A 27,293-nucleotide genomic window follows, 5' to 3' on the forward strand; every position below is an offset into this window, starting at 1 on the left:
AATCCACATTCTTCTGCCATGGCTTCAGCTGGTCCCTCCGTTTGGGGTCCCTGACTTCCTGAACAGTGATTACATGGGGACAATGGGAATGAGGAGGAAGAATGAGAGGCATTTGCTAGAAAATGTATTCAAACTGATGGCTGGTCTGAAAGGGAGTTGTAGGCTGGGGTGATGAGAGACAGGTCTCATAGCAACAGGGTAAACAAAGTAAACTTGGCTTGGTTGGTGTTTTATTTATTATTATTATTTTTTTGAGATGGAGTTTTGCTCTTGTTGCCCAGACTGGAGTGCAATGGTGCAATCTCAGCTCACTGCAACCTCTGCCTCCCAGATTCAAGTGATTCTCCTGCCTCAGCCTCCCGAGTAGCTGGGGTAACAGGTATGTGCCACCATGGCCAGCTAATTTCTTTATTTTTACTAGAGACGGGGTTTCACCATGTTGGCCAGGCTGATCTCCAACTCCTGACCTCAAGTGATCCGCCCACCTTGGCCTCCCAAAGTGCTGGAATTACAGGCATGAGCCACGGCACCCGGCCTATTATTATTATTATTTTATTTCGAGACAGGGTCTTCCTCTGTCACTCAGGCTGAAGTGCAGTGGTGCAATCTCAGCTTTCTGCAACCTCTGCCTCCTGGGCTCAAGCGATCGATCCTCCTGTCTCAGCCTCCCAAGTAGCTGGGACTACAGGCGCATGCCACAAAGCTAGGCTAATTTTTTTTTTGTATCTTTTGAAGAGGCAAGATTTTGCTGTGTCCAGCCTGTCTCCAGGCTGGTCTTGAACTCATGAGCTCAAAGCAATCTGCCCACCTTGGCCTCCCAAAGTGCTGGGATTGCAGGTGTGAGCCACTGCACTCGGCAGCAGGTGTTTTAGATTGGGCTACCTTGAAGCAGAACCTGGGGTGGGGACTTTTGTTCAAGAGATACACTGCGGGAGGCTCTCAGGAGAAAGACTGAAGAAAACAGGATAGGGAAGGGAAAAAGGCTAAGCAAGGATGTGAGCTTCAGCCTGAGCTCATGGGGAAGCTCAGGGCAGCAAATTGCACCAGTCAATTGCACTTGGAGGCATGGGGGCTGGCGTTTTGTAGATCTGCTTTAAGGTCAGGCAGCCACTGGGAGTCTGTCCAGAGTGTGTGCAAGGGAGGAGGGCTTGGCTCCTGTTTGGCCCAGGGCAATTCTCCAGAAAAGGGGACAATTGTGTGTGGTTATCAGCTGATATTCCCAAAAGCTGGAAAGTGAGTGGACTCACTGGTGAAAAGGACCTGAGCCCAAACAGTGTCCATGATAGTGAATCCATTTTGGTTGTGTTGGATTTGAGGTGGCAAAGAAATAAGGAACTGGCATGTGACTGCGGGAAATTGGAGCTACAAGACAGGAGTTCAGGTGAAAAGATAGGACTAGGTATGTAGCTATTGGAGTGGGGGACTTCGGCGCACAGATGATAGGGTTTTTTGTTTGTTTGTTTGTGAGGGTTTTTTTGTTTGTTTGTTTGTTTGTTTGTTTGGAGAGAGGGTCTTGCTCTGTAACCCTGGCTGGAGTATAGTGGCATGATCATAGCTCTCTGCAGCCTTGACCTCCCAGGCTCAAGAGATCGTCTCACCTCAGCTTCTTGAGTAGCTGATACTACAGGTGTATGTCACCACTCCCAGCCAATTTTTTAAACATTTTTTTAGAGACTGGGGGTCTCACTGTGTTGCCCAGGCTGGTCTCAAATTCCTGGGCTCAAATGATCCTGCTGCCTCAGCCTCCCAAAGTTTTGGGATTATAGGTGTGAGCCATGGCGCAGGCCTAGATGATAGTTTAAACAAGAGGGAATTTGTATATTTGTCACTTTGGGGGTTGCTGGTGGCCTTTGAAGGAAGAGTTTCACAGCAGGACAGAGTACAAAACCATATGGTGACGTGAGGTCTAGTAATGCTTTCCACAGTTAATGTCCTTCCATTCTGACTAACTCTTAACACCTCTAGGGTACTTTCTCCTTCGACTTATGTGCTGCTCATTCTGGCTTGTCCTCTGTGTTCTGGTTATTTTTTGTTGTCCAACAAATTGCCTCAAAATTTTGTGGCATGAGACAACCCTTTATTACGTTCACGGATTCTGTGGGCCAGGAATTTGGACACACCGCAGTGGGGATGGCTTGTCTCTGCTCCATGTTATCTGGGGCTGCAGCTGGAAGACTCGAAAGCTGGGGGACTGAAATCGTCTGCAGACACTTTGCAGTGGATGCTGGCAGTTAGCTCAGGGACCTCAGGGTTTCTACCTGTGGTCTAGTTAGAGTTTCTCTTGCATAGTGGCTGGGTTGCTGTGAGGGAACCAGGCATGAACTGCTTTTTTTTTTTTTGAGGCGGAGTTTCACTCTTGTTGCCCAGGCTGGAGTGCAGTGGTGCAGTCATGGTTCACTGCAGCCTTGACTACCCAGGCTTAAGTGATCCTCCTGCCTCAGTCTCCCTGGTAGCTGGGGCTACTGCCAACATGCCTGGCTGATTTTTGTATTATTATTATCATTATTTTGTAGAGACAGGGTCTCACTATGTTGCCCAGGCTGGTCTCCAACTCCTGGGCTCAAGCAATCTGTCCATCTCAGCCTCCTAAAGTATTGGGATTACAGGTGTGAGCCACTGTGCCCAGCTGCATTCTTTTTATAACCTCATCTTTTTTTGATCTGCATCACCTCCCTCCTACCCTATTGGTCAGAGTAGTCACAGCCCCGCTCCCATTCAAAGAGAGGGAACATGGCCCCTACCTGGAGTGTCAGTCATGGGACAAGGAGAGCAAGTGGAAAGGGGCACCCAACTTTGGAAAATACCATCGGCCACACTCTATCGGAGCCTCCATTTGCTTTTTATGAGTGGCCTTCATTTATTTAGCTGTCATTGGGTCAACAATAACAGCAACTTGAGGAACCTCTTGAGGGCAGGGATCAGGCCTGTTACGTTTGTTTACTTTATCTTTATATCCTGAGCATTGGCCCAGGAATAAGTATCTGTGGAAGGACGGGATCCTTCTAAGTCTCTCATCTATTTTTCATACACGGCATCATTTAATTCTAAACTAGCTGTCATTACCATTTCACAATTGAAGAAACTGAGGCTTAGAGGCGCAAATGGTCTCTCTCAGATGACTCAGGTCTTCTGGGTTGATGTGGCTTTTATTAAGAACTTGTTGTCTCCAACAGCAAATAGCATTCCTAGGGGCTGGGGCTGTTTCTTCAAGGCCCCTGCCTCTGCACCCTGGTAGCAGCACAGGCCTAGCTGTAGGGCTGTGGACAGCGTGCCCTCGGCTGCTTACTGACTGGTTGGCATTTGATACATATGATGATTTAACATGAAGATTTAGTGTGATTTTGCATCTCTTCATGGGAGCAGGGTCAGGACCAGGTCCTGTTGCGGAATTCAGCTTTGGGGCTGGGTAGAAGACTGGGATGAAGTTGCTCCTCATCTCTGTGCCCTGGCTATGAGCAGGCAGCACCTGGGTCAGGAGTGTGAGGTGAGTGGGTGATGCTAAGGAGGGTTCAGGTGGAGCAGTCAGACTGTGCTGAGTAACTCCCCTGGAGGGGAAGGGGGACGTGGTGGAGGCAGTTCCTGGAGGCCCAGCTCAGAGCGGAGAAAGGAGCCAATTACCACCTCCTCCCAAGTCACATCCCAGCCCTGGGAATACTTCACAGGCTCCGGGGAAATCCCGGCCAAGTGGCAGAGTGGGTGGTGGGGTGCTTATCACTCATGATCAGGAGTGGGTGGGGGCGGATCTTAGAGCTTGCATCAGGCCTCAATTTTCCAACTCCTGCCTGTGATCCACCCCCGCGCCCACTGCACACCACCAACCAACCTTTGACTTTATCTCTTTAGTTGATTTCTCAGAGATTGCAGATCAGGAAGGGCCTTTGGAAACCACAGCTTCCACTTCCGCTGTGGGGGCAGAAAGCACGGGACAATCTAACCCTTTCGTGCCTGGAAAGTAACAAGGAGGACTCTGCCCTTACCAGGTTCCCAAGGTCCTGTACCAGCCCCACAGGGACTGCTGAGGGGAGCTTTTTCTCTCTGGTTCCTCATCCTCTCCTCTACTCAGGTGTAGGCTGTCCCTGCCTAGTTGGTCTGACAGTAGCTCCCTGCGACTTCTCATATCACCTCCGACTCCCCAGCCTCACCTCCACGGGCCCTGATGCACTGGCTTCGGCTGTGTCTTTTGTGAGTCATCCTTGCTGCTTTGTTCCAGCCCCACTGATGGGCCTCCTGCCCTCCCCCATGCAGGACTTAGTCACCGCTCGTGTCATCAATCCCTCTGGAATGCACCCCTCCTCCAGACACCCATGCTCCCCACATCCTTTATTATTTTGTTAAAACTAGCAATGCCCCCCCCAACCCCCATGATTAAAATAGTACATGTTTGTTGTGGGAAATCTGTAATATGCAAAATATACACAAAAGAGAATAAAAAGCACCAATAATTCCATAACCCAAATTAGCTAACATTACATTCCGGTGGATTTCCATCTGGCATTCTCCTCGCCAGAACTCCGTCCAGCTTCAGGCCTTCATGTGTGCTTATTGCTTCTTTTACCTGCAGTCATGCTCTCTGTCTCTCCCCTCCTTCAATCTGTGAGCAAATCTACTCATCCTTATTATTTTAAGGGTCATTCTTTCAGAGAAACCTTCCCTCTACCCCCAAGCTAGTCTCTTTATTACACACTCACAATACCCAGTACTTTTCCTTGTAGCACTCACCACAACTAGAAATAAATCATCATTTTTGTCCTCTTGTGTTTAATGTCTGCCTAGCTACCTGACGTAAGGTCTGTGACTGGTTTTCTTGTTTACTCTGATGGCCCTAGCACCCATCACAGTGCCCTGTACTCAGAAAACATACATCATACCCAGATGCCTTCCCGGAATAACCATGTGCCTGTCTTCCCAGCACTTACAATAATCAATTTAACAAATATAATTAATCAATTACTATGTGCCTGGCTTGGTTTCAGGTACAGGATACCAAGCAAAATGACCCAGTTCTTACCCTCGAGGAGGTCTCAGTCTTTTGAGGGAGACAGATCAGTAATGGAAGCTTTCTAATGTACAGCTAAGTAAACGGTGATCAATAGTGTTAGGTAAAGTGTGGAGGAGAGGTCCGTGAACAATCCTGGGGAGATGACACCATTGTTTTATCTTGTTAATGCATTTACTTCACAGAATCACAGGATAATGGAATTGGACGGCACCATGAGATCAGCAGGCCCATCTCTTCCTGTACAGATGAGGAAACTAAAGTGGTGAAGGGTAGTGAAGCCACTTAGCCAAAGCCATTGGGTGACAGATCTGGGAATAGAACTTGGATCTTTAGATTCCCAGCCCAGGGCTCTTTCCACTGTACCTGGGGGCCTTTGGACTCCCCCTCCCCTCTCCTCTTATTCTGTTAATCCCCAAGTCCTTTGATTTTCCCCATGAAGGTCTCTCCAATCTCTCCACTTTTCCTCATCCCCACATCACCAGGCTCTAAGCCTCCAACATCATCTCCAGCCTGAGCACCTACCCTCACCTCCTACCTCATCTCTCTGCTTCTAGTCTTGCCCTGCTCAGATGCCTTCTCCACTCTGCCGCCAAAATGAGCCTCACAGATGTACGCATGTCTGTCCCTGGCTTAGAACTCCAGTGGCTTCCCACCAGGCTTTTAGAAATATACTCAAAATTCTTATATGGTGTATTAGTCAGCTCAGGCTGCCATAACAAAATATCCTAGACGGGGTGGCTTAAACAACAGAAGTTTATTTCTCACAGTTCTGGAAGCTGAGAAGTCCAAGACCAAAGTGCTGGCAAGGTCAGCTTTATTCAGACTTTCAGAGTCCTCTTTTCTTTCTTTCTTTTATTTTATTTTATTTTATTTTTTTATTTTTTTTGAGACAGCATCCTGCTCTGTTGCCCAGGCTGGAGTGCAATGGCGTGATCTCGGGTTCAAGTGATTCTCCTGCCTCAGCCTCCCGAGTAGCTGTGACTGCAGGTGCCCGCCACCACACCCAGCTAATTTGATACTTTTAATAGAGACGGGGTTTCACCATGTTGGCCAGGATGGTCTCGATCTCTTGACCTTGTGATCTGCCTGCCTCGGCCTCCCAAAGTGCTGGGATTACAGGCGTAAGCCACCACGCCTGGCCTCTTTCTTTCTCTTTTTTTTTTTTTTTTTGAGACAGAGAGAGTCTTGCTCTGTCACCCAGGCTAGAGTGCAATGGCATGATCTCGGCTCACTGCAAACTCTGCCTCCCAGGTTCAAGTGATTCTCCTGTCTCAGCTTCCTGAGTAGCTGGGATTACAGGCGCCCACCACCATGCCTGGCTAATTTTTGATTTTTAGTAGAGACGGGGTTTCACCATGTTGGCCAGGCTGTTCTCAAACTCTTGATCTCAGGTGATCCACCCTCCTCAGCCTCCCAAAGTGCTGGGATTACAGGTGTGAGCCACCGCACCTGGCCCAGAGTCCTCTTTACTTCGTTGTAGGTGGCCGCCATTTTGCTCTGTACTCACATGGCCTCTTCGTGCATGTGGGGAGAGAGAGCTCTCTTGTGCATCCTGTTCCTTTTATAAGAACACCAGTCCCATCAGATTAGGGCCTCACCCTTAGGACCTCATTTAACCTGAATCACCTAAAAACCCTATCTCCAAATATAGTCGCATTGAGAGTTAGGGGTTCAACATACGAATTTGGGGGGACACAATTCATTCCATAGTGTAGGGTCCACTGGGCCTTTTTTGGTTGAGCCCACCTTACCAGCCTCTTCTAAACCCAACTCACCTCTCTGTCTGTACGCTTTTATATCTTGGAATTTTTTTGGTTCCTCCGACTTGTCTGGATCTCTTGTAGCTCAGGTTCCCCCTCCCCCTGCTCTGATGTTTTTATATTTTCATCATTTTCAAGTCTCAGTTTGAACATTAGCTTCTAGGAGAGGCCTTCCCTGATCTGCATCCTGTGTTAGGTCCTCTGGCTATACATGCCTATGGTACCCTGAACTCCACCTTGTGTAAGAGTCACCACCTCAGTCCTGTGTGTTTCATATCTGTCCTTCTGAGCTCCACAAGGCAGGAAGATCTCTGTCTGGTTGGTTGCAGTATCCCCAGGGCTAGCACAGTGCCTGGTGCCTACTAAGCAGTCAAGATTAACTTTTACTGGTAGATGCTCAATACATTTCCATTGACCTGAGCTGTCCTCAGAGAGTATATGTATTTTGTTGTCTAATTTGGGTTGAAATCTCTCAGAAGGGTCCTATCTGTTCCTTACTTGAAATCTCCTATCCCGTGCCCATCCTGGGCTCCTTCATTCAGGAAACATTCCCATAAATGATTATTAACTGATCTCCCTACAACTTTCCCAACATGTATCACATTTGAAGGAACAATCATATTTAAAAGAATATGTTACATAGCAGGACAGTTTATTATGAATGTCATGTAACAACAATCTACTGAGAATTAAAAAGAAACTAAAGTGTTCCTCTCCTCTCCCACCTCTGGGCAACCAGGACTTCATTTCTTTGAAATTGTGGATTTCCTGACCCCTGAGGTGTTTGGCTTTTTGTGTATGTTTTAGAAGGAACAGAAAGAATCAGGCTGGGTGGGGCTGTAAAGGAAACCCACCCTAAGCAGGCCTCGTTTTGGAAGAGCTGGAAAGATACCTGTGGTGCCAGATGGTATGAGAGTACAGGGTGTGAGGGCAGGAGCCTACTTCTTGGTTGACTCTTAGACTTCCATGGACTCATGGAAAAGAGAAGGGGTGCAGGCTGGGCACAATAGCTCATACCTGTAATCCCAGCACTCTGGGAGGCCGAGGTGGGCAGATCACTTGAGGTCAGGAGTTTGAGACTAGCCTAGCCAACATGGTGAAACCCCGTCTCTACTAAAAATACAAAAATTAGCTGGGCGTGGTGGTGGGTGCCTGTAATCTCAGCTACTCGGGAGGCTGAGGCAAGAGAATCGCTTGAACCTGGGAGGCGGAGGTTGCAGTGAGCTGAAGTCATTCCACTGCACTCCAGCCTGGGCAACAAGAGCAAGACTCTGTCTCAAAAAAAAAAAAAATCAGAATGGTGGTTAGTTTGGAGTGAGGTGGGCAGGAAAGAGGGTGCTACATATTGACTGCAAGGGAAACAAGGGAGACTCCTGGGTTGAAGCTATCTTGTCTAGATGGTGGTTAAATGGGTAAATATAAATGTAAAAGCTCATCGGTTTGTTTCCTGCTGATAGCCAATTAGTTAATTAATTTAATTTAAAAAAACTAATTGGGGCCAGGTACACCGGCTCATTCCTGTAATCCCAGCACTTTAGGAGACTGAGGCAGGAGGATTGCTTGAGCCCAGATGTTCAAGACCAGTCTGGGCAACATGGTGAAACCCTGTCTCTGCAAAAAATACAAAAATTATCTGGGCATAGTGGTGCACGCCTGTAATCCTAGCTGCTCAGGCTGAGGCAGAAGGATCACTTGAGCCCAGGAGGTTGAAGCTGCAGTGAACCATTATCATGCCACTACTCCAGCCTGGGCAACACAGTGAAACCTTGCTTAAAAAAAGAAAAGAAAAGGAAAAGGAGAAAAACATCAAACTGCATACATTTTTAAAATGAAAAAAGGAAACAAATTACTGACACATGCAATGACTTGGATGAATCTCAAAGGCATTACGCTGAGTGAAAAAAGTTCTCAAAAGTTACAGACTGTATGATTCCATTTATGTGACACTTTTGAAAAGATAAAACGATAGCAACAGAGACTAGATCAAAATAGCAAAATAGCAGGGAGTTTGTCGGGGGCAGGAAAGAGGATGGGACTACAAAGGGGTAGCCCGAGGGAGTGTTTTAGGCAGTGGAGCTATTCTGTTTCAGTGGTGGTGATTACATGATCGATTGTGGTGATTACATGAATCTTTACACATGTGAAACTCATAGGACTGTCCACTGAAAAAAATCAATTTTACTTTATGTTAATTTTTAAAATAAAATTATTTTTAATTAAGAAGAGACCTTCTAGCCCCTCAATAGCGCAGAGGAGTTCCTGAAAGGAGGCGCTAAGGAACTGGCTACCCTGGAAAAGGCATACCACCTTCCCCGCCTTGCCCTGTACCAGGCCTGGGGATCTTCCTGGGCCCTCTGTGGTTCTCACTCTCCTTCCTTGTCCTCCTGCTGGGCCAGAGTGACCCACACATCCCCTCCTTTAGCATCTAAGTCTCGGGGTCTAGGAAGCCAGTGTGCTTTGCTCACTCCTACGTCCCCGGTCCCTGAGACACAGGTACGAGGTGGTTGCTCATTGACAGAGTGAAGGAATGTTCTAGCACCAGGCCTGATCCGTCTTGGCACACTCCACAGGCTTTTCTATGTTTAGCCTCCTTTCCAGCTGCCCAGAGGACACGCCATAGCTGGGAGACATCACTGTCGAGGTGTGGGTCACAAGCTTACCCCTCCCATGAGGCAGGGTTACCAGCTTTCCTATCGTTTGAAGAATTTAGCAATCTGAGTTTATTATTGCTGTCATTCTAATTTTGAAATACATTTTTATTATACAAGAAAATCTGTTCAATTAAAAAAAAAACAGTTAAAAAAAAAGGGAGATCCGGTCCCACTTCCCAGACTCATAACTGTTACTAGATCCTTCTCTATCTATCTAGAAACATTTATGTGAAGGTAGGCATGTATGTCCACATATATGCAACAGATATGATTGCCCCACAGCTCCTGGGCTACAAGTAATGTCTTGTTTCTTTGTGGACTCACTCAAATAGACTCTGGGTCCAGCCCTGCCCACCACTGACTGGAACTCCAGTGTCAGACAGTTTTCAGGCTCCCTCCCTCAGGTCATACAAGATGCCCAGACTGATGCAGTACTGATGAAACGGAAGAGTCTGTTCCTCTGGCCACATGGTCAGCACTTGCCAGCTGCTTGCCCAGGTCAGTGGGGACCATTATGAGTCAGGCTGCTGGTGGGGTGTGGTGGCTCACGCCTGTAATCCCAGCACTTTGGGAGGCCAAGGTGGGTGGATCACCTGAGGACAGGAACTCCTGACCTAAGTGATCTGCTCTCCTTGGCCTCCCAAAGTGTTGAGATTACAGGCGTGAGCCACTGCGCCTGGCCTATTCTGACTTCTGTTACCATAAATTGGTTTTGTCTGGAAGGTTTCTAACAATTGTGGTGCAAGTTTTATAACCCACCTGGTTTTGTCTTGGGAATTAGAAGTCTCTCAATGTTTTGGAGAGAGATTCTGATGCCCCTCACCAGAAGTCATGCTCTGGGGCCAGTGAGCAAAGATGAGCTTCTTATCCTTTTTCTTCCTGGGTTCCAGCAAGCCAAGCCTCACAGCAGTGTCCAAAAAGTTGGTAGAAAAGGCCTAATTTTTTTTTTTTTTTTTCAGGCAGAGTCTGGCTCTGTCGCCCAGGCTGGAGTGCAGTGGCGCGATCTCGGTTCACTGCAAGCTCCGCCTCCCGTGTTCCCGCCATTCTCCTGCCTCAGCCTCCCTAGTAGCTGGGACTACAGGCGTCTGCCACCGCGCCCGGCTAATTTTTTTTGTATTTTTTAGTAGAGACGGGGTTTCACTGTGTTAGCCAGGATGGTCTCGATCTCCTGATCTCGTGATCCTCCCGCCTTGGCCTCCCAAAGTGCTGGGATTACAGGCGTGAGACACCGTGCTCGGCCTTTTTTTTTTTTTTTTTTTGAGACAGAGTCTTGGTCTGTTGCCGAGGCTGGAGTGCAGTGGCACCATCTCAGCTCACTGCAACCTCTGCCTCCTGGGTTCAAGTGATTCTCCGGCCTCAGTCTCCCAAGTAGCTGGGATTACAGGCACACACCACCTCGCCAGCTAATTTTTTGTAGTTTTAGTAGAGATAGGGTTTAGCCATGTTGGCCAGGCTGGTCTCGAACTCCTGGCCTCAAGTGATCCGCCCACCTCAGCCTCCTAAAGTGCTGGTATTACAGGCATGAGCCACTGTGCCTGGCCAGGCCTAGCATCTTAAAAACCCAGTGGAGGGGAAGGTCACAGTCCTAGGAATCAAAAGGCATGGGTTCACTTCCTCTCTCTGATATTTGCTGCATGTTCTTGAACAAACTATGTAAACTTCTTGAGCCTCAGCTATTTCATCAGTAAAGTGGGAACAGTAACATCCACTGTGATTATCAGACCTATTTTTAAATACTTGAGGCCCTCTTTCCTTCAAAGGGTGTAAGAAAATTGAACTTTGCCACTCCATTTAACTCCTACCCACTAATCCAGGCGTGGCTACGTGACTTACTGAGGCCAATTAAAATGGTGCCTTCTAGGTGGAAGTTTTAAAAGCTAGTGTATGCTTTTCCACATTTTTTTTTCTCCTTCAACTATAGTAATTGGTGATATTCCACATAGTGGCTGCTCTGTCAACCTGGGTCCTGGAGTTAGGACAATGACAGCTCAGAGCAGAGCCTCGGCCAACCCACCATGGATATGTGGCAGGAGAGTCAATGAAGCTTTGCTGCATAAAAGCCATTGAGATTTGGGGGTTGTTTGTTACTGAAGCATAACCTAGCCTGCTTGGTTGATATACCACATTACACATTTATTACTAAGATTATGTGAAGTAAAATGTTTGGAACTTCTTGGTACATAATAAAGCTGATTTTCTTCCTTTCAGACTCTCCTTTTTTCTTTCTAAGAGTCATGAACCCAGGGATACTTTTTTTTTTGAGACAGAATCTTGCTCTGTTACCCAGGCTGGCGTGCAGTGGCGTGATCATAGCTCACTGCAGGCTTCCCCTCCTGATCTTAAGTAATCCTCTCCCACCTCAGCCTTCCGAGTAGCTGGGATTGCAGACATACCCTGCCATACCCAGCTGATTTTTTTATTTTTTGCAGAGACAGGGTCCCACTATGTTGCCCAGGCTGGTCTTGAACTACTGGGCTCAAGTGATCCCCCTGCCTTGGCCTGCCAGAGTGCTGGATTACAGGCATGAGCCACCGCACCTGGCCCCCAGGAATGTTCTTACCAGCTTCTAACCCTGGCTAAAGGGCAATAGAACAGAGAGCCACTCAACCACAAAAGAAAAAGGAAGAAGAAAGGATATAAAGCAACAAAGGTACAGAAATGTAATACAGAGGAAAGGAAAAGAAACAAAGTGATAAAGAAGGCGAGACAAAGTATAAAAACAGGGAAGAAAGAGGTACAGAGGGCCAGGCAGGGTGGCTCACGCCTATAATCCCAGCAATTTGGGAGGCCCAGTCAGATGGATCACCTGAGGTCAGGAGTGCAAGACCAGCCTGGCCAACATGCTGAAACCCCGTCTCTACTAAAAATACAAAAATTAGTTGGCCTTAGTGGTGCAGGCCTGTAATCCCAGCTACTTGGGTGGCTGAGGCATGAGGATCGCTTGGAACTGGGAAGCAGAGGTTGCAGTGAGGTGAGAGTGCGCCACTGCACTCCAGCCTGGGCCACAGAGTGAGATTCTGTCTCAAAAAATAAAAAATAAATAAATAAATAAAAATAAAAAAAAACAAAACAAAACAAAACAAAAAAACAGGTATAAGGGATGTCTGAGGCATAGACAGAGGTGATTCTCAGAAAAACAAAAGAAAACAAAAGGAAAAACCACTGAGGCAAAGGGAAACTGTATTTCTTGGAATTGTTGGCCCCAACCCCAGGCAAACAACATTTTCCCTTAAGACAAATGAACAAACAAACTTTGGCAAATAGAGCTTCTGGGTGTGCATTTATCAGTCTTTCCACTCGGTTTACTGGGCGCCTACTCTGTGCCTGACATTGTGCTTGGGCTGGCTTTACAGGGGCAACCAAGACCTAGTGCTGGCCTCTGCCTTCAAGGAGCCCCTAGACTGGTGTGAAACAGACACAAGAACAGTTGGGATTCAATCTGGCTTGTGCAATGATGGAAGTGCCAGGAGGAATTAAGGGAAGAGAAGGGGAAGCAGGCCCTGCAAAGGGGCTTTCTGGAAAATTTGAGCCTGAGTGTCTTGAAGGATAACTAGGAGTTAGCAATGGCAAGGTTTCTGAGGAGAAAGAGGGACCACGATGGGCAGAGGGGCAATAGGAGCCAGGTAGCTGCAGGTAGTCTGGGGTTGCTGGACCCTTGATGAGAGGCTGTGGGCAGCAGGAGATGAGGCTGGAGAGGGATTCAGGGTCCTATCACAGAGACTCAAATGTTAAGATGTTGGTCTTTAAGTGGATGGGCTCGGGGATATTTGGGCTGTTATGTGGGGAAGTGACATGGTCAGATTTTTAGCTAAATTGCTCTGCCTGCCATGTGGACAGTGTGTTGGGGCAGCATTTCTTTGCATGAGGTCTCTGGGGATTGGGCTGAATACCCACCCAGCCCAGGGCCTGCAAGTGGACAGGATGGCCTCTGGAAGAATCATCCTAGCCGCTGCTTCATCAGTGTCTCAGGGGAGTGATGGCTATCTGCGGTGGTGGCGTTGGGGTAAAAGAATTTACCAGCCGGGCGTAGTGGCTCACGCCCATAATCCCAGCACTTTGGGAGGCCGAGGCGGGTGGATCACCTAAGGTCAGGAGTTTGAGACCAGCCTGGCCAACATGGTAAAACTCTGTCTCTACTAAAAATACAAAAGTTAGCCGGGCGCGGTGGTGGGTGCTTGTAATCTAATCTCAGCTACTCGAGAGGCTGAGGCAGGAGAATTGCTTGAACCTGGGAGGCGGAGCTTGCAGTGAGCCGAGATTGCGCCACGGCACTCCAGCCTGGGTGACAGAGTGAGACTCCATCTCAAAAAAAGAAAAAAAAAATTTACCAAGGCAGTTGTAGGTAGAGAAAGGCAGATTTATTACAGTAATTAGGAAAACGCCAGGGTTGCAGGGAGGTAACTTGCATTTTTTTGTCAGCTGGGATGTCTGGAAAGTTGAAGTGTTTGATGGTAAGCAGGAAGTTTGTGAGTTCTGCTATCTGAGTAGGAGCTGGGGCTTGTAAAGCAGCCAACAGTTGAGCCTGCCTTTTGGCTCCGTGTTTGTTTTTTTCTTAGTCTTGTCCTCCTTATTTTGTTCTTGGTTATAAAGACTGAGGAGGCTAATTTGGTAATTTTCTGCATAGGGGTCATGCTGTGTTATACAAGAAAATTAGATGTTTCTTTTTGAGAGTTTGGCGGTAGAATTTGTCACAATTCTTTACAGCCTAGAGGCAAGTTTGCAGGAACGGACGGGGTTTGCTCCATGGTGGGACTGGAAAACATGCCGCTCTGGGGCAATGTCAATCAGGGACATGAACTGCACTTTTCTGCGGGGGGCATCTCACTGAGATGAACAGAGGGTTCCACTTACATCCACAGAGGGACTTGGATGCACTTTCCAAAGGGGGCATCCCACCAATTAGAAAAGACCTCCTGGCCGCTCAGGGGCCTCATGCTGGATGGCCAGTCCAGGCACTCACTTATGCTGGGTGATCAGCCCAGGCACGAGGAAAAAGAAGGGTAAAGGAAGATCTCTACCTGGTCTTGGCCCAGGAGGTGGGGTGGGTAAGAGAAGACTCACCGTTCTGAGGCTGTCTGACATCACCTGATTTAGCAAGGCCCAGGACAGGATGGCTGGCTGACTCCATAGGTGAATTTAGAGTGAGAAAGAGAGCGTCTGAGTTACCTAAAACGTGTGTGAGTTTGCCCCGAACAAGCTTCTGCTGTCAATTGTGTCACATATAGGGATGAGGGACTTGCAATTAGAGAAGATGGGCAACAGCCTTTCTCCCTTCCAGGCAGGGCAGCTAGCCCTGTTCACTCTGGGCCTTCAGGCAACACTGGAGAGTGGCCCTGGCCAGTTACCTTTGATTGCCAGAGAGATACTAGAAGCTGGTTGCTGAAAGACTGAAAAAAGAAAAAAAGTCAGGTCACTCACCCAAACCAGGCAATGATGATCAGATGCTTCCACATGGACAGACACCTTTCAGTCTCACTGGAGTGTAGCTCTGGCCAGAGACCTGCAATTGTCTTTGTGCTTAGATGCTGTCCTTCGAGGGTCCCGAGTTGGGAAAGGGAAAGGAGAGAGAGTCCCTGTATGGAGAGGGAGAGTTCCCTGTATGGGCCACCAAAATGTTTCAGGGGAGCAACGGCTATCTGGGCTGGCGGCTCAGGGGTAAGAGAATTTACCAAGACAGTTGTAGGTAGAGAAAGGCAAATTTATTAGAGAAAGTAGAAAAACAGGAGAGCAATGGGCAGGAGAGCAACGGGCAGGCCAGCAGAAGAGGAGCTGACTGCAAGGAAACAAAGGCTTGTTGGGGATTTTGTAGGATGGCTCTTAGGCTGTAGAGTGTTATGTGCAGTACTGATTATGCCAGGGTAGCAGGGAGGTAACTTGCATTTTTTTTTTTTTTTTTTTGTCAGCCAGGGTGTTTGATAAATTGAGGTGTTTGATGGTAAGCAGAAGTTTTTGAGTTATGTACATTATCTGAGCAGGAGGGCCATATGTCTTGGGCCATTTGCCTCATTTCTTTGCTTTCCCCTGGTCCCACCAGCCTGATTTGTTTTTTAATTATTACTCAACAGTGAGTGCTGTCACATGCTGGGCATTGTGCTATGTGCTCTATGTGGAGTAACTCACTTACTGTCCCCCTATCCCCCAAGACCATCCTGTGACATGGGCATTCTTTTTTTTTTGAGATGGAGTCTTGCTCTGTCACCAGGCTGGAGTGCAGAGGTGTGATCTTGGCTCACTGCAACCTCCGCCTTACGGGTTCAAGCGATTCTTCTGCCTCAGCCTCCTGAGTAGCTGGGACTACAGGTGCGTGCCACCACGCCCAATTAATTTTTGTGTTTTTAGTAGAGACGGGTTTTCACCACGTTGGCCAGGATGGTCTCAATCTCTTGACCTGGTGATCCACCTACCTCAGCCTCCCAAAGTCCTGGGATTACAGGCGTGAGCCACCACACCCGACCAGACATGGGCATTCTTATCCTCATTTTGACTGAGTAACTGGGCACAGAGAGGCTGTTATGCATCCCAATTGCAGAGCTAGGCAGCGGCAAGCCCACTTTCACACAGCGCCAGCTGCCTGGCTCTGGGATCAGCCTGTAGTCACTCTCCATTCTGCCCCTCAGGATCTGCTTCTCCCAGGAAGCCTCTCACAGAGGCAGAATTTTGCATTGGCATCCTGCTTCAAGCTTATGAAATCTTCTATACAGATGACCTCATTCCAGCCTTGCAATAATAGCTTCTGTGAGGTATTATTATTCATAGCTTTAAAAAAGCCAGTTGAAGGAAATCCAGTGATTTGTCAAAGGTCAGAAGTTAGGTGGCCGCTCTCCTGCTCAGACTTACGTTTTCTGACTTGGAGTACAGTGCTCCGCTCTCACGTTATCTGTCAGCTGACGCTGCAGCCAGCCTCATACTCAACACATCACATGGTTCGAAGGCTAGGCCACTTTCCACTACTATTGAGCTGCCTCCTCTCTATGAAAATGCTTTTCTGGATTGAGGGAGACAGTCATAGAGAAATGTGTTGTTGGCATCGATTTCCTATGGTTGGGCAATGGCTTCCGCCATCTGGACCAGGTGACGTCAGCTATCTGGATTTCTGCCAGCATTCCCCGGCCCAGGAAACAGACTTCCGGCTGTCTGGGCTCTGAGCCATCTTCGGCCTCCTGGGTGAGTGGGTCTTGCAATTCGCAAAGTGAGGAACTGAAAAGTCAGCTCTCAGGGAAGATTTCACTGTATAAAGTCAGGTAAAAATGGGGAAGAGGCATACTGGGTCAGAGAGACAGGGAGCCCTTCTATCTGAGTCTGGGGCCTTTCTCAGATGAGAGGGGAGGATCTAGTGATCAGACAGGGAAATTGAAGATCTTTGTGACTAAGACTCAAGTCAATTGGGGGTAGATGAGGAGTAAGGTAAGCAAAGCTAAAGAAATCTGGGGAAAGATACACATAAAGATACAAACACAGAAGGTCAAATACTGGCCAAGGATAGAATGTTGATCCCAAAACTCATGCACTTTTCTGTGGACACTGAGACTTGAACAAATCAATAACTTGAGAATGTAAGCAGCCCTCTGCCATGTTATACTTTGTTGAGTTATATAACAGTTGGGGGAAAACCTAAACAATGGTACATGTGTTAAGGTAGACAGTTAAATTGTCCCTCCACCACTCCCTGTCTCATTCCCAACCCTGCTCTCCAGGCCAGGCTCATAAAAGTTGTTACTCATTTTAGCCATTCCTTCAGCCAATATTCATCTTATTCATTCTTACAATCACCCTGTGAGGTAAGAGCTATCATTATGCCTTTATTTTGAAAATTGTAGTAAAATAGACATAGAATTTAGCATTTTAACTGTTTGTAAACATACAGTTCAGTGGCATTAGGTACATCCACATTATTGTGCAACCATCACCATCAGCCACATTCAGAACTTTTTCATCTTCCCCCACTGAAACTCCACCCAGCAAACAATACCTTCACATTCCCCACTTTCCTTAGCCCTGGCAACCACCATTCTACTTTCTGTAGAATGTAACCACTTTAGATGCCTTTTATTTTATTTTTTATTTATTTGTTTTTTTGAGACGGAGTCTTTCTCTGTCACCAAGCCAGAGTGCTGTGGCACGATCCTGGCTCACTGCAACCTCTGCCTCCTGGGTTCTAGTGATTCTCCTGCCCCAGCTTCCCGAGTAGCTGGGATTACAGGAACACGCCACCACGCCCAGCTAATTTTTGTATTTTTAGTAGAGACGGGGTTTCACCATGTTGGCCAGGATGTAGGTGCCTTTTATAAGTGGAATAATAGGCTGGGCGCGATGGCTCACACGTGTAATCCCAGCACTTTGGGAGACCAAGTCTGATGGATCACTTGAGGTCAGGAGTTCGAGACCAGCCTGTCCAACATGGCAAAACCCCATCTCTACTAAAAATACAAAAATTAGCTGGGCATGCTGCCGTGTGCCTGTAATCCCAGCTACTTGGGAGACTGAGGCACAAGAATTGCCTGAACGCGGGAGGCAGAGGTTGCAGTGAGCTGAGCTCACGCTACTGCACTCCAGCAAGATTCTGTCTTAAAAAAAGTGGAATCGGCCAGGCATGGTGGCTCACGAGTGTAATCCCAGCACTTTGGGAGGCCGAAGTGGGCGGATCACCTGAGGTCAGGAATTCAAGACCAGCCTGGCCAACATTGCGAAACCCCGTCTCTACTTAAAATACAAAAATTAGCTGGGCGTGGTGGTGGGCGCCTGTAATCCCAGCTACTTGAGAAGCTGAGGCAGAAGAATCGCTTGAACCCAGGAGGCGAGTTTGTGGTGAGCCGAGATCGCTCCAGCCTGGGTGACAGAGCAAAACTCTGTCTAAAAAAAAAAAAAAAGGTGGAATCATAAAATATTTTTCCTCTTGTGATTGGCTTTTTTTTTTTTTTGAGATGGACTTTTGTTCTTGTTGCCCAGGCTGGAGTGCAATGGCACAATCTTGGCTCACCGCAACCTTTGCCTCCCAGGTTCAAGCTATTCTCCTGCCTCAGCCTCCCGAGTAGCTGGGATTATAGGCATGCACCAACACACTGGGCTAATTTTTTGTATTTTTGGTAGAGACAGGGTTTCTCCATGTTGGTCAGGCTGGTCTCAAACTCCTGACCTCAGGTGATCCACCCGCCTCAGCCTCCCAAAGTGCTAGGATTACAGGCATGAGGCACCACGCCCGATCATGATTGGCTTTTATTTCACTTAGCAGGATGTCTTCAAGGTTTATCCACATTGTAGTGCATATCAGAATTTTCTTTTTAAAAAAATATTCCATTATATGTATATATGTATTATACAATTTTTTTTTTTTTTTTGGGTGGAGACAGAGTCTCCTTCTGTTGCCCAGGCTGGAATGCAGTGGTGCGATCTCAGCCCACTGCAACCTCAGTCTCCCTGGCTCAAGTCAACCTCTCACCACCTTAGTCCCCTGAGTAGCTGGGACTACAGGTATGCACCACCATGCCTGGCTAATTTTTGTGTTTTTGGTAGAGATGAGGTCTCATCAAGTTGCCCAGGCTGGTCTCGAACTCCTAGGTTCAAGCAATCCTCCCACCTCAGCCTCCCAAAGTGCTTGGATTACAGGTGTGAGCTACCAGGCCTGGCCACATTTTGCTTATTCATTCATCTATTGATGGACACTTGGATGGCTTCCACCTTTTGGCTATTGTGAATGATGCTGCTGTGAATGTGGGTATACAATTTAATAACATTTATATTGAGATACAATTCACATACTATATAATTCACCTTGTAAGAGGTGGAGGTTGCAGTGTGGTGAGCCGAGATCATGCTCCTGCACTCCAGCCTGGGGGGTACAAAGTGAGACGCCATCTCAAAAAAAAAAAAAATCCACCCTTTAAAAATGTACAATGAAATGTGTTTTTTTTTTTTTTTTTTTTGAGACAGAGTCTCACTCTATTGCCCAGGTTGGAGTGCAGTGGCTCAGTCTTGGCTCACTGCTACCTCTGCCGCCCTGGTTCAAGCGACACTCCTGCTCAGACCAGAGTAGCTAGGATTATAGGCTCCTGCCACCGTGCCCGGCTAATTTTTGTATTTTTAGTAGAGATGGGGTTTCACCATCTTGGCCAGGCTGGTCTTGAACTCCTGACCACGTGATCCACCCACCTCGGCCTCCCAAAGTGCTGGGATTACAGGCGTGAGCCGCCGCACCCGGCAGAAATGGTTTTTAGTATATTCACAGAGTTGTGCAACCATCACCACAATTTTAGAACATTTTCATCACACTCAAAGACGTCCCATGCTCATTAGCAGTCATTTCCGGTTTTACCCCCAATCTCTCCCCTTCCCAGCCTTAAGCAACCACTAATCTACTTTTTGTCTCTATAGATTTGCCTACACTGGACATTTCATATAAACAATCATACAATATGTGGCATTTTATGTCTGGCTTCTTTCACTTAGCATAGTGTTTTCAGTGTTGTAGCATGAATCAGTACTTTCTTTTTATTGTTGAATACTATTTCATTGTATGGATATACCATATTTTATTTATACATTCATCAGTTGATGGACATTTATACTGTTTCCAAATTTTAGCTATTATGAATAATGCTAGTGTGAACATTCATGTATAAGATTTTGTGTGGACATCCATTTTCTCTTTGGTATACACTTAGGAGTGGAATTTCGAGGTCATTAACTTTATGTTCCACTTTTGAGAACTGCTTTCCAATGTTGCTGAGCCATTTGACATTCTCACCAGCAGTGTATGAAGGTTCCAGTTTCTCCAGTCTGTCTTTTTGATTCTAGCCATCTTAGTGGGTATGAAGTGGTATTTCATGGTGGTTTAGATTTGCATTTTCTTGGTGGTTAATGATGTTGAATATCTTTTTTTTTTTTTTTTTGAGATGGAGTCTCGCTCTGTCGCCCAGGCTGGAATGCAGTGGCACGATCTCAGCTCACTGCAACTTCTGCCTCCTGGGTTCAAGCGATTCTCCTGCCTCAGTTTCCTGAGTAGCTGGGACTACAGGTGTGCACCACCACTCCTGGCTATTTTTTTATATTTTTACTAGAGATAGGGTTTCAGCATGTTGGCCAGGCTGGTCTCAAACTCCTGACCTCAAGTGATCCGCCCACCTCGGCCTCCCAAAGTGCTGAGTCACCGCGCCTGGCCTGAACGTCTTCTCATGTGCTTATTGGTCATTTGTATACCTTTGGAGAAATGTTTATTCAGATCCTTTGCGTATTTTTTAATTGAGTTGTCTTTTTATTATTGAGTTGTAAGAGTTTGTTATAAATTCTAAATATAAGTCTCTTAACTGATACATAATTTACAAATATTTTATCCCATTCTATGGGTCTTTTTTACCTGTTTCTTTCTTTCTTTCTTTTCTTTTTTTTTTTTTTTTTTAATAGCGACAGGGTCTCGCTTTGTTGCCTAGGCTGATCTCGAACTCTTGGGCTCAAGCAATCCTCCTGGCTTGGCCTCCCAAAGTGCTTGGGCTACAGGCATGGGCCACCATGCCCAGCCTATTTTCTTAATGTCCTTTGAAGCACAAAAGTTTTAAATTTTGAAGTCCAATTTATCTATTTTTTTTTCCTGCTTGTGCACTGTGTCATAGCTAAGAAACCACTGCCTAGTCTGTGGTCACAAAGATTTACATCTGTCTTTTCTTCTAAGAATTTAATAGTTTTATCTCTTCCATGTAGGTCTTTGATCTATTTTGAATAAATTTTTGTCTATGGTATGAGGTAAGGGTCCAACTTCATTCTTTTGCATGTGCATATCCAGTGGTCTCAGCATTAGTATGCCTTGTTACGGAGGAATAAATTTTCAGCTTCGTAAGAAAAGGACCATGGGCCTGGCAAGGTTGCTTATGCCTGTAATCCCAGCACTTTGGGAGGCCAAGGTGGGAGCATCACTTGAGCCCTGGAGTTCGAGACCAGCCTGGGCATTAGAGTGAGACCCCGTCTCTACTTAAAAAAGAAAAGGAAAGAAAAGAAAAAGGACTGTGCCCGGTTTTGCTCACCATTATCTTCCCAGGATTCTCTTAGCCCCATGCAAGACACATGCTACATGCTCAATAAATATAGCCTGAGTGAGTGAACATATGAGTGACTGAGACTCAGTGTGGTTAAATAACTTGCATAGGTCAGTCAGTTGGAAGGTGGCCAGATATGGCTCAAACCCAGATCTTCTCATCTAATTCTTTTTTTTTTTTTTGAGATGGAGTCTTGTCGTCAGGCTGGAGTGCAGTGGCATGATCTCGGCTCACTGCAACCTCCACCTCCCAGGTTGAAGCGATTCTCCTGCCTCAGCCTCCTGAGTAGCTGGGACTACAGGCGCGCACCACCACGCCCAGCTAACTTTTGTGTTTTTAGTAGAGACAGGGTTTCACCATGTTGGCCAGGATGGTCTCGATATCTTGACCTCATGATCCGCCTGCCTCGGCCTCCCAAAGCGTTGGGATTACAGGCATGAGCCACTGCACCTGGCCTTCTCATCTAATTCTAATTAAGAGTTTTTGTATAATACTTCAAAGTTTCTGAAAATTTCCTGAGTTACCAAAAGCTCTTTGTCACAAGAAACCATATTTCTTAGGCTGGGGGTGGTGCTCACGCCTGTAATCCTAACACTTTGGGAGGCTGAGGTGGGTGGAATACCTGAGGTCAGGAGTTCGAGACCAGCCTGGCCACATGGTGAAACCCTGTCTCTACTAAAAGTACAAAAATTAGCCGGGCGTGGTGGCAAGCACCTGTAATCCCAGCTACTGGGGAGGCTGAGGCAGGGAATCGCTTGAACCCGGGGGCAGAGGTTGCAGTGAGCCGAGATCATGCCACTTCACTCCAGCCTGGGCAAAAGAGTGAGACTCCGTCTCAAAAAAATAAAATAAAATAAAATAAAATAAAATAAAAATAAAAATAAAAATAAAAAATAAAAAGAAACGGTATTTCTCCAAAGTTTCATTTGCTGTCTCTGCTGTATGATCCCAATCATTTCATTGTTTGTGAGCAGCAAAACTCAAATCTAGGGAGCCTCATGTCCCTTCTGCTTCTGACTCCTCCCTCACTCGAGCCACAGAGTCAAAGATTCCACTTCCTTCTAGGGTAGTTTTATAGTTGGAAAGTTCTTCTAAATCTCGGACCACAACCTCCTGCTGCAAAATTGTGCCATAAATCCCCATGAGTGTTCAGTGTAACCATTGACTATAGGACCTGGTTTGATGTGGGAGGCATTTGGGGCTTGCGGAAAGCTTTATGTGCTCTGCCCCGTACAAAGGGCAGCCTTGGGGCAGCCGATGCCCTTGCTCTGGCCCTGACATGCTGCTCCCTTTTTGAAGTGTGGTTTCTGATTCTGGGTGCAGCTTGCCATATCAGAGGAGAATGAAGCTAGGTGGCATGAACCCCAGAAAATTTTGGTGAACTCACCTCTTGGAATGAGGACAAAGGAGAGTCTTGAAGCAGAAAAGAGCTGTGCTCCTTGAAGGGGTCCAAAGTTAAAGCTCACACTGGGGTGGATTGGGTAGACTTACCTGTCCCCTCTTTGACAGTGATGCATTTGAGCTTCTCCTATTGGGTCCTTTGGAAAAGAATTCTTTGAACTACTAGAAAATTAGGACAGGGTGGGGGCAAAAGAAAACGTATATTGAGAGCTTGCTCCATGTATTTGTTAGGCATTTAATCTAGGTATCTAATTTTATCTTCAAAGTAATCCTGTGGGTTGGTTTTATCAATCCTATTTTGCAGAGTTGGATGCTGAAACTTGCAGTCACACAAGGACTTGAACCTAGAGCTTTTCTAAAGCCCGTACTCTTTCCAGTACCCTGAGCCAGGGGAGCCAGCGGGCAGAAATGACGTGTGAGGTACCCTCTCTCTCTTCACTTCCATGTGATCTGTTACTCATTTTGTCAAGACATCCTGGGTCCCAGGTAAGCTCCAGTGATTCCCCTGAACCAGTGGTGTGCTGGAGCCAGCTCAGACCTGCTAGTGAGAGTGTTAAATATTCAGGAAATTTGCAAGCTGGTTGTTAAACTGTCAGTGGTTGGAAATTGGTCATGGGAGGAAGTATCTACACCACGGAATAACTACACACGGATAACTGCTACAAATCAGGGATCCCCATCTCCCCCACAAGCTGGTTTGCTAACACATCACTGTCTTTCTTTTTTTTTTTTTTTTTTTTGAGACAGAGTCTCACTCTGTCGCTCAGGCTGGAATGCTGTGGCGTGATCTTGGCTCAGTGCAGCCTCTGCCTCCCAGGTTTAAGCAATTCTCCTGCCCAAGTAGCTGGGATTACAGGCACGTGCCACCATGCCTGGCAATTTTCGTATTTTTAGTAGAGACAGGGTTTCGCAATGTTGGCCAGGCTAGTCTTGAACTCCTGGCCTCAAGTGATCCACCAGACTCGGCCTCCCAAAGTGCTGGGATTACAGGTGTGAGTCACCGCGCCCGGCCCAGAGCACTAACCTTGGGGTCCAGAGTGAGAGCTGAAGAGAACAGGGCCTGCCCCCAGCAGTCACAGAGTTTCAGCTGCAGACTGAGGGAAGACCGATAGTATCTATGGGAAAGTGTGTGCACAAAAGAGACAGAAAAGAGGCTGGAGAATATTGATTATTCACACATGAACAAAGTAAGTACCAATGTTATTAATCCCAGGGATTTTGCTGGGAGGAGTTCTGGCTTGTTATTAGGGTCCTTTTCTTTCAGATCAAGAAAAGGGAGATCTAATTCATGAAGAAACTAGAAAAGTGCCCTGGATTGGTGGGAGTGTGGTGGGGGTGGTGCTGCACAACACAGAAGAGGGGAACTTTGACTTTGAGCCTGAGGTCTTGGGATGAAAAGCAGTTTGTGGACCGGATTCCTGACCCTGGGGTTACAGTAGGAATCCCTTTGCCTGACAGGTGGTGACCTTCCTCTGGCAAGGTCCCCAGACTCCTAAGGCAGAAGCAATCCTCCCATCTCAGTCTGCCAAGTAGCTGGGACTACAGGTGCTCACCAACACACCTGGCTAATTTTTGTGTTTTTTTGGTAGAGATGGGGTTATTCCAGGCTGGGATCTGTGAAGAGCAGAACAACTCTAAGCCCCAGGGCAAAAATCTGCAGAGCTGAGTCTCATGCCACTTTGGGGCACTCCATCTGAGGCCTGGAATCAGAGGCCTTCCGCAGCTTGTGTAGATGCTGCCAAAAGGCTGAGCTCGGTGGCCCATGCCTGTAATCCCAGCACTGTGGGAGGCTGAGGCAGGCAGATTACTTGAACCTAGGAGTTTGAGACCAGCCTGGGCCACATGGTGTACCCCCATCTCTACAAAAAATATAAAAATTAGCCAGGTGTGTTGGTGAGCACCTGTAGTACCAACTACTTGGGAGGCTGAGGTGGGAGGATTGCCCCAGGGGTTTGAGGCTGCAGTGAGCCATGATCATGCCACTGTACTCCAGCTTGGGCAACAGAATGAGACCCCATCTCAAAAACAACCAAAAAGATGCTGCAAAGAAACAGCAGCCTCCTGTAACAAAATAAGTGGTACATCTTTTGTGATGGGAGCATCTCCCTGGGGAGCGAAGCTGGACGTTGCAGCCCTACCCTGTCCCCAGAGGTTTTTCTGTCCCTTTATGTCTATGAACAAGTACAGCTGAGGCCATCAGCACTGCACACACCTGGAACAGTCTTGTTAAAACAGGACCTCCCTAAAGGCCAAGAGCTAAGGAAAGAGAAAGTGAAGGACTGAGCAGCAGGTAACCAGAATCAGAGTCATTGAAGGCAACTGCAGGAGTTGCCCCTTCCTGGCTCCCTCCCATGGCAACTCCCTGAGTCTGAGTAGAGAAGGTTAGAGACGCATGGAGGTTCCCACCCCTCCTGTGAAAGGCTCCCTTCTGAGTTCCAGGTCCCTATCTGATGACCCACCTCACCTATGCCTGCCTAATACCTGAATGGCCATCTCTTTCAGAGACCACTCTTATTCCCAGGTGTGTGACCTCCTCCTACAGACTACAGTGGGAAAGACACCATCTCCAGGTAACCCCAACACAGTGAGGGGTGGAGCGGGGATGTGGTCATTCGTTCCAGGTATTGTTGATTCTCTTGAGGTTCAATCCAGGGCTAGAGATTGTGATTAAAGAGATACCCAGATTGGGTATGCGTGTAAAGGGCAAGAGCTATGAGACCAATGTGACATTTAGGATTAATTAGTCCCTTCCACAGGGCAGGCTGCCACTCACTGGTACAGCTCCTGGGCTGAGCCTGGCAGAGCTCATTAGCAAGGCAGACACTGGAATGTGTGTGCAATGGAGGGAGGCTTAAACTCAGAGGCTGCTGGTTCCTATTAAGCAGAGAGAGGTTAGAACTTAGTGGCACAGAAACTGATATCAGCTAAATATGGGTTAGTCACCAACCCTGCACCATCTTCCCTAACCTTTGAGAAAGTCTTTTCCTACTGCTTGTTCACATCCATTCATTCAACAAACAATTATGAATTTTCTCTTAGGTGCCAGGTGCTACACAAGATACTGGCTATAGCAGCGAACAGGACAGCCCGTCTCATCCTCATGGAGGTCACAGGACAATGAGAAGAAAGACTTTTTTATTTTTATTTTTTTGAGACGGAGTTTTGCTCTTGTTGCCGAGGCTGGAGTGCAGTGGTGTGATCTCGACTCACTGCAACCTCCGCCTCCCAAGTTCAAGCAATTATCCTGCCTCAGGCCTCTTGAGTAGCTGGGATTACAGGCACCTGCCACCACTCCTGGCTAATTTTTTGTATTTTTAGTAGAGACAGGGGTTTCATCATGTTGGCCAGGCTGGTCTCGAACTCCTGACCTCAGGTGATCCACCCACCTCGGCCTCCCAAAGTGCAGGGATTACAGGCATGAGCCATCGAACCCGGCCCAAGAAGAAAGACATTGAACAAGTAATTACAGGGTATTGGGTGTTATGAAAGAAAAGCATGGTACTGTATAATGAGGTCATCTAATTTAGTCTGGGGTGACAAGGAATGCCTACTAAAGAAGGTATCGTTTAAGACATACCTGGGGAATAGCGGTAGTGAAAATAGAAGCTCCAGAAATGCAGGGACCATGGCTGACATGTTTACCATGCCAGTGTCTGGCATGGAAGAGGCCCAATTCCTTTGGTTGAAAGGATGAAGTAATCTAGCTGAATAAAGGGTGTGTGCGTGCACGCAGGTGTGTTTGTAGTTAACCTTCCTTTAGCTCAGCTTAGGAAACAGCTTTTGTAAAACTGCGTAACTAGTAGTAGGTGAGAGAGGAATACGAATGATATACACACCATTAAAGACAACTTACTAACAGCATGAGTCCGACATAGATTCCTTCCTACTTGGGTTTGAACCCTGAGCCCACCACTTACTAGCTGTGAGAAAGTGAATGAGTTGCCTCCCTTTCCTGTGCCTCTGTTTCTTGTAAATTCTATTTCCAAGCATCATGAGGATAAAAGACAATGTATATACGTTGTTTGGCATATTACAGTCAATGCTTGGTAACTACTATTGTTATTTTTTAAAAAATTATTATTATTATTTTTTGAGACGGACTCTCGCTCTGTCGCCCAGGCTGGAGTGCAGTGGCGCTATCTTGGCTCACTGCAAGCTCTGCCTCTTGGGTTCACACCATTCTCCTGCCTCGGCCTCCTGAGCAGCTGGGACTACAGGCGCCCGCAACCACGCCCGGCTAATTTTTTGTATTTTTAGTAGAGACGGGGTTTCACTGTGTTAGCCAGGATGGTCTCGATCTCCTAACCTCGTGATCCGCCTGCCTCGGCCTCCCAAAGTGCTGGGATTACAGGCGCGAGCCACCGTGCCCGGCCCCACTATTGTTATTTATGTACACCAAATTTATATCCAAAGGGACTTTGATAGTTACAAGAAAAGACATATAAGTCCAGATATCATT

At 47.1% G+C, this 27,293-nt stretch overlaps 1 long non-coding RNA gene across 1 annotated transcript, besides 6 other annotated features; it reads left to right on the top strand.

Moving 5' to 3' along the window:
- Window positions 1–1,272: 1,272 nt before the first annotated feature.
- HCG20 (HLA complex group 20) lies at window positions 1,273–26,698 on the top strand. Its single transcript, NR_138037.1, has 4 exons — window positions 1,273–1,399; window positions 23,139–23,320; window positions 25,337–25,404; window positions 25,874–26,698. It is a non-coding gene; the product is annotated as an HLA complex group 20 (long non-coding RNA).
- Window positions 3,534–4,733: an enhancer, noted in NCBI's record as "P300/CBP strongly-dependent group 1 enhancer chr6:30736863-30738062 (GRCh37/hg19 assembly coordinates)". NCBI's record gives its function as "activates an origin of replication core promoter dependent on BRD2, BRD4, P300/CBP, MED14 and CDK7 cofactors, with strong dependence on P300/CBP, by STARR-seq in HCT116 cells {active_cell/tissue: HCT116}" and the evidence as "EXISTENCE:reporter gene assay evidence [ECO:0000049][PMID:35650434]".
- Window positions 3,583–3,762: a silencer, noted in NCBI's record as "fragment chr6:30736912-30737091 (GRCh37/hg19 assembly coordinates)". NCBI's record gives its function as "represses an EF-1alpha promoter that drives an FKBP-Casp9 reporter gene in an ReSE screen in HepG2 liver carcinoma cells {active_cell/tissue: HepG2}" and the evidence as "EXISTENCE:reporter gene assay evidence [ECO:0000049][PMID:32094911]".
- Window positions 3,618–4,149: an enhancer, noted in NCBI's record as "H3K27ac-H3K4me1 hESC enhancer chr6:30736947-30737478 (GRCh37/hg19 assembly coordinates)". NCBI's record gives its function as "activates a minimal SCP1, AML or CMV promoter by ChIP-STARR-seq in naive and primed H9 embryonic stem cells {active_cell/tissue: H9 hESC(naive and primed)}" and the evidence as "EXISTENCE:reporter gene assay evidence [ECO:0000049][PMID:30033119]".
- Window positions 4,150–4,681: an enhancer, noted in NCBI's record as "H3K27ac-H3K4me1 hESC enhancer chr6:30737479-30738010 (GRCh37/hg19 assembly coordinates)". NCBI's record gives its function as "activates a minimal SCP1, AML or CMV promoter by ChIP-STARR-seq in primed H9 embryonic stem cells {active_cell/tissue: H9 hESC(primed)}" and the evidence as "EXISTENCE:reporter gene assay evidence [ECO:0000049][PMID:30033119]".
- Window positions 13,680–13,974: a silencer, noted in NCBI's record as "tiled region #6937; HepG2 Repressive non-DNase unmatched - State 23:Low". NCBI's record gives its function as "represses a minimal TATA promoter and a strong SV40 promoter by Sharpr-MPRA in HepG2 cells {active_cell/tissue: HepG2}" and the evidence as "EXISTENCE:reporter gene assay evidence [ECO:0000049][PMID:27701403]".
- Window positions 23,211–23,388: a silencer, noted in NCBI's record as "fragment chr6:30756540-30756717 (GRCh37/hg19 assembly coordinates)". NCBI's record gives its function as "represses an EF-1alpha promoter that drives an FKBP-Casp9 reporter gene in an ReSE screen in K562 erythroleukemia cells {active_cell/tissue: K562}" and the evidence as "EXISTENCE:reporter gene assay evidence [ECO:0000049][PMID:32094911]".
- Window positions 26,699–27,293: the final 595 nt, after the last annotated feature.

This window comes from Homo sapiens, chromosome 6 (genome assembly GCF_000001405.40).
Source record: "Homo sapiens chromosome 6, GRCh38.p14 Primary Assembly".
Lineage (NCBI taxonomy): Eukaryota > Metazoa > Chordata > Mammalia > Primates > Hominidae > Homo > Homo sapiens.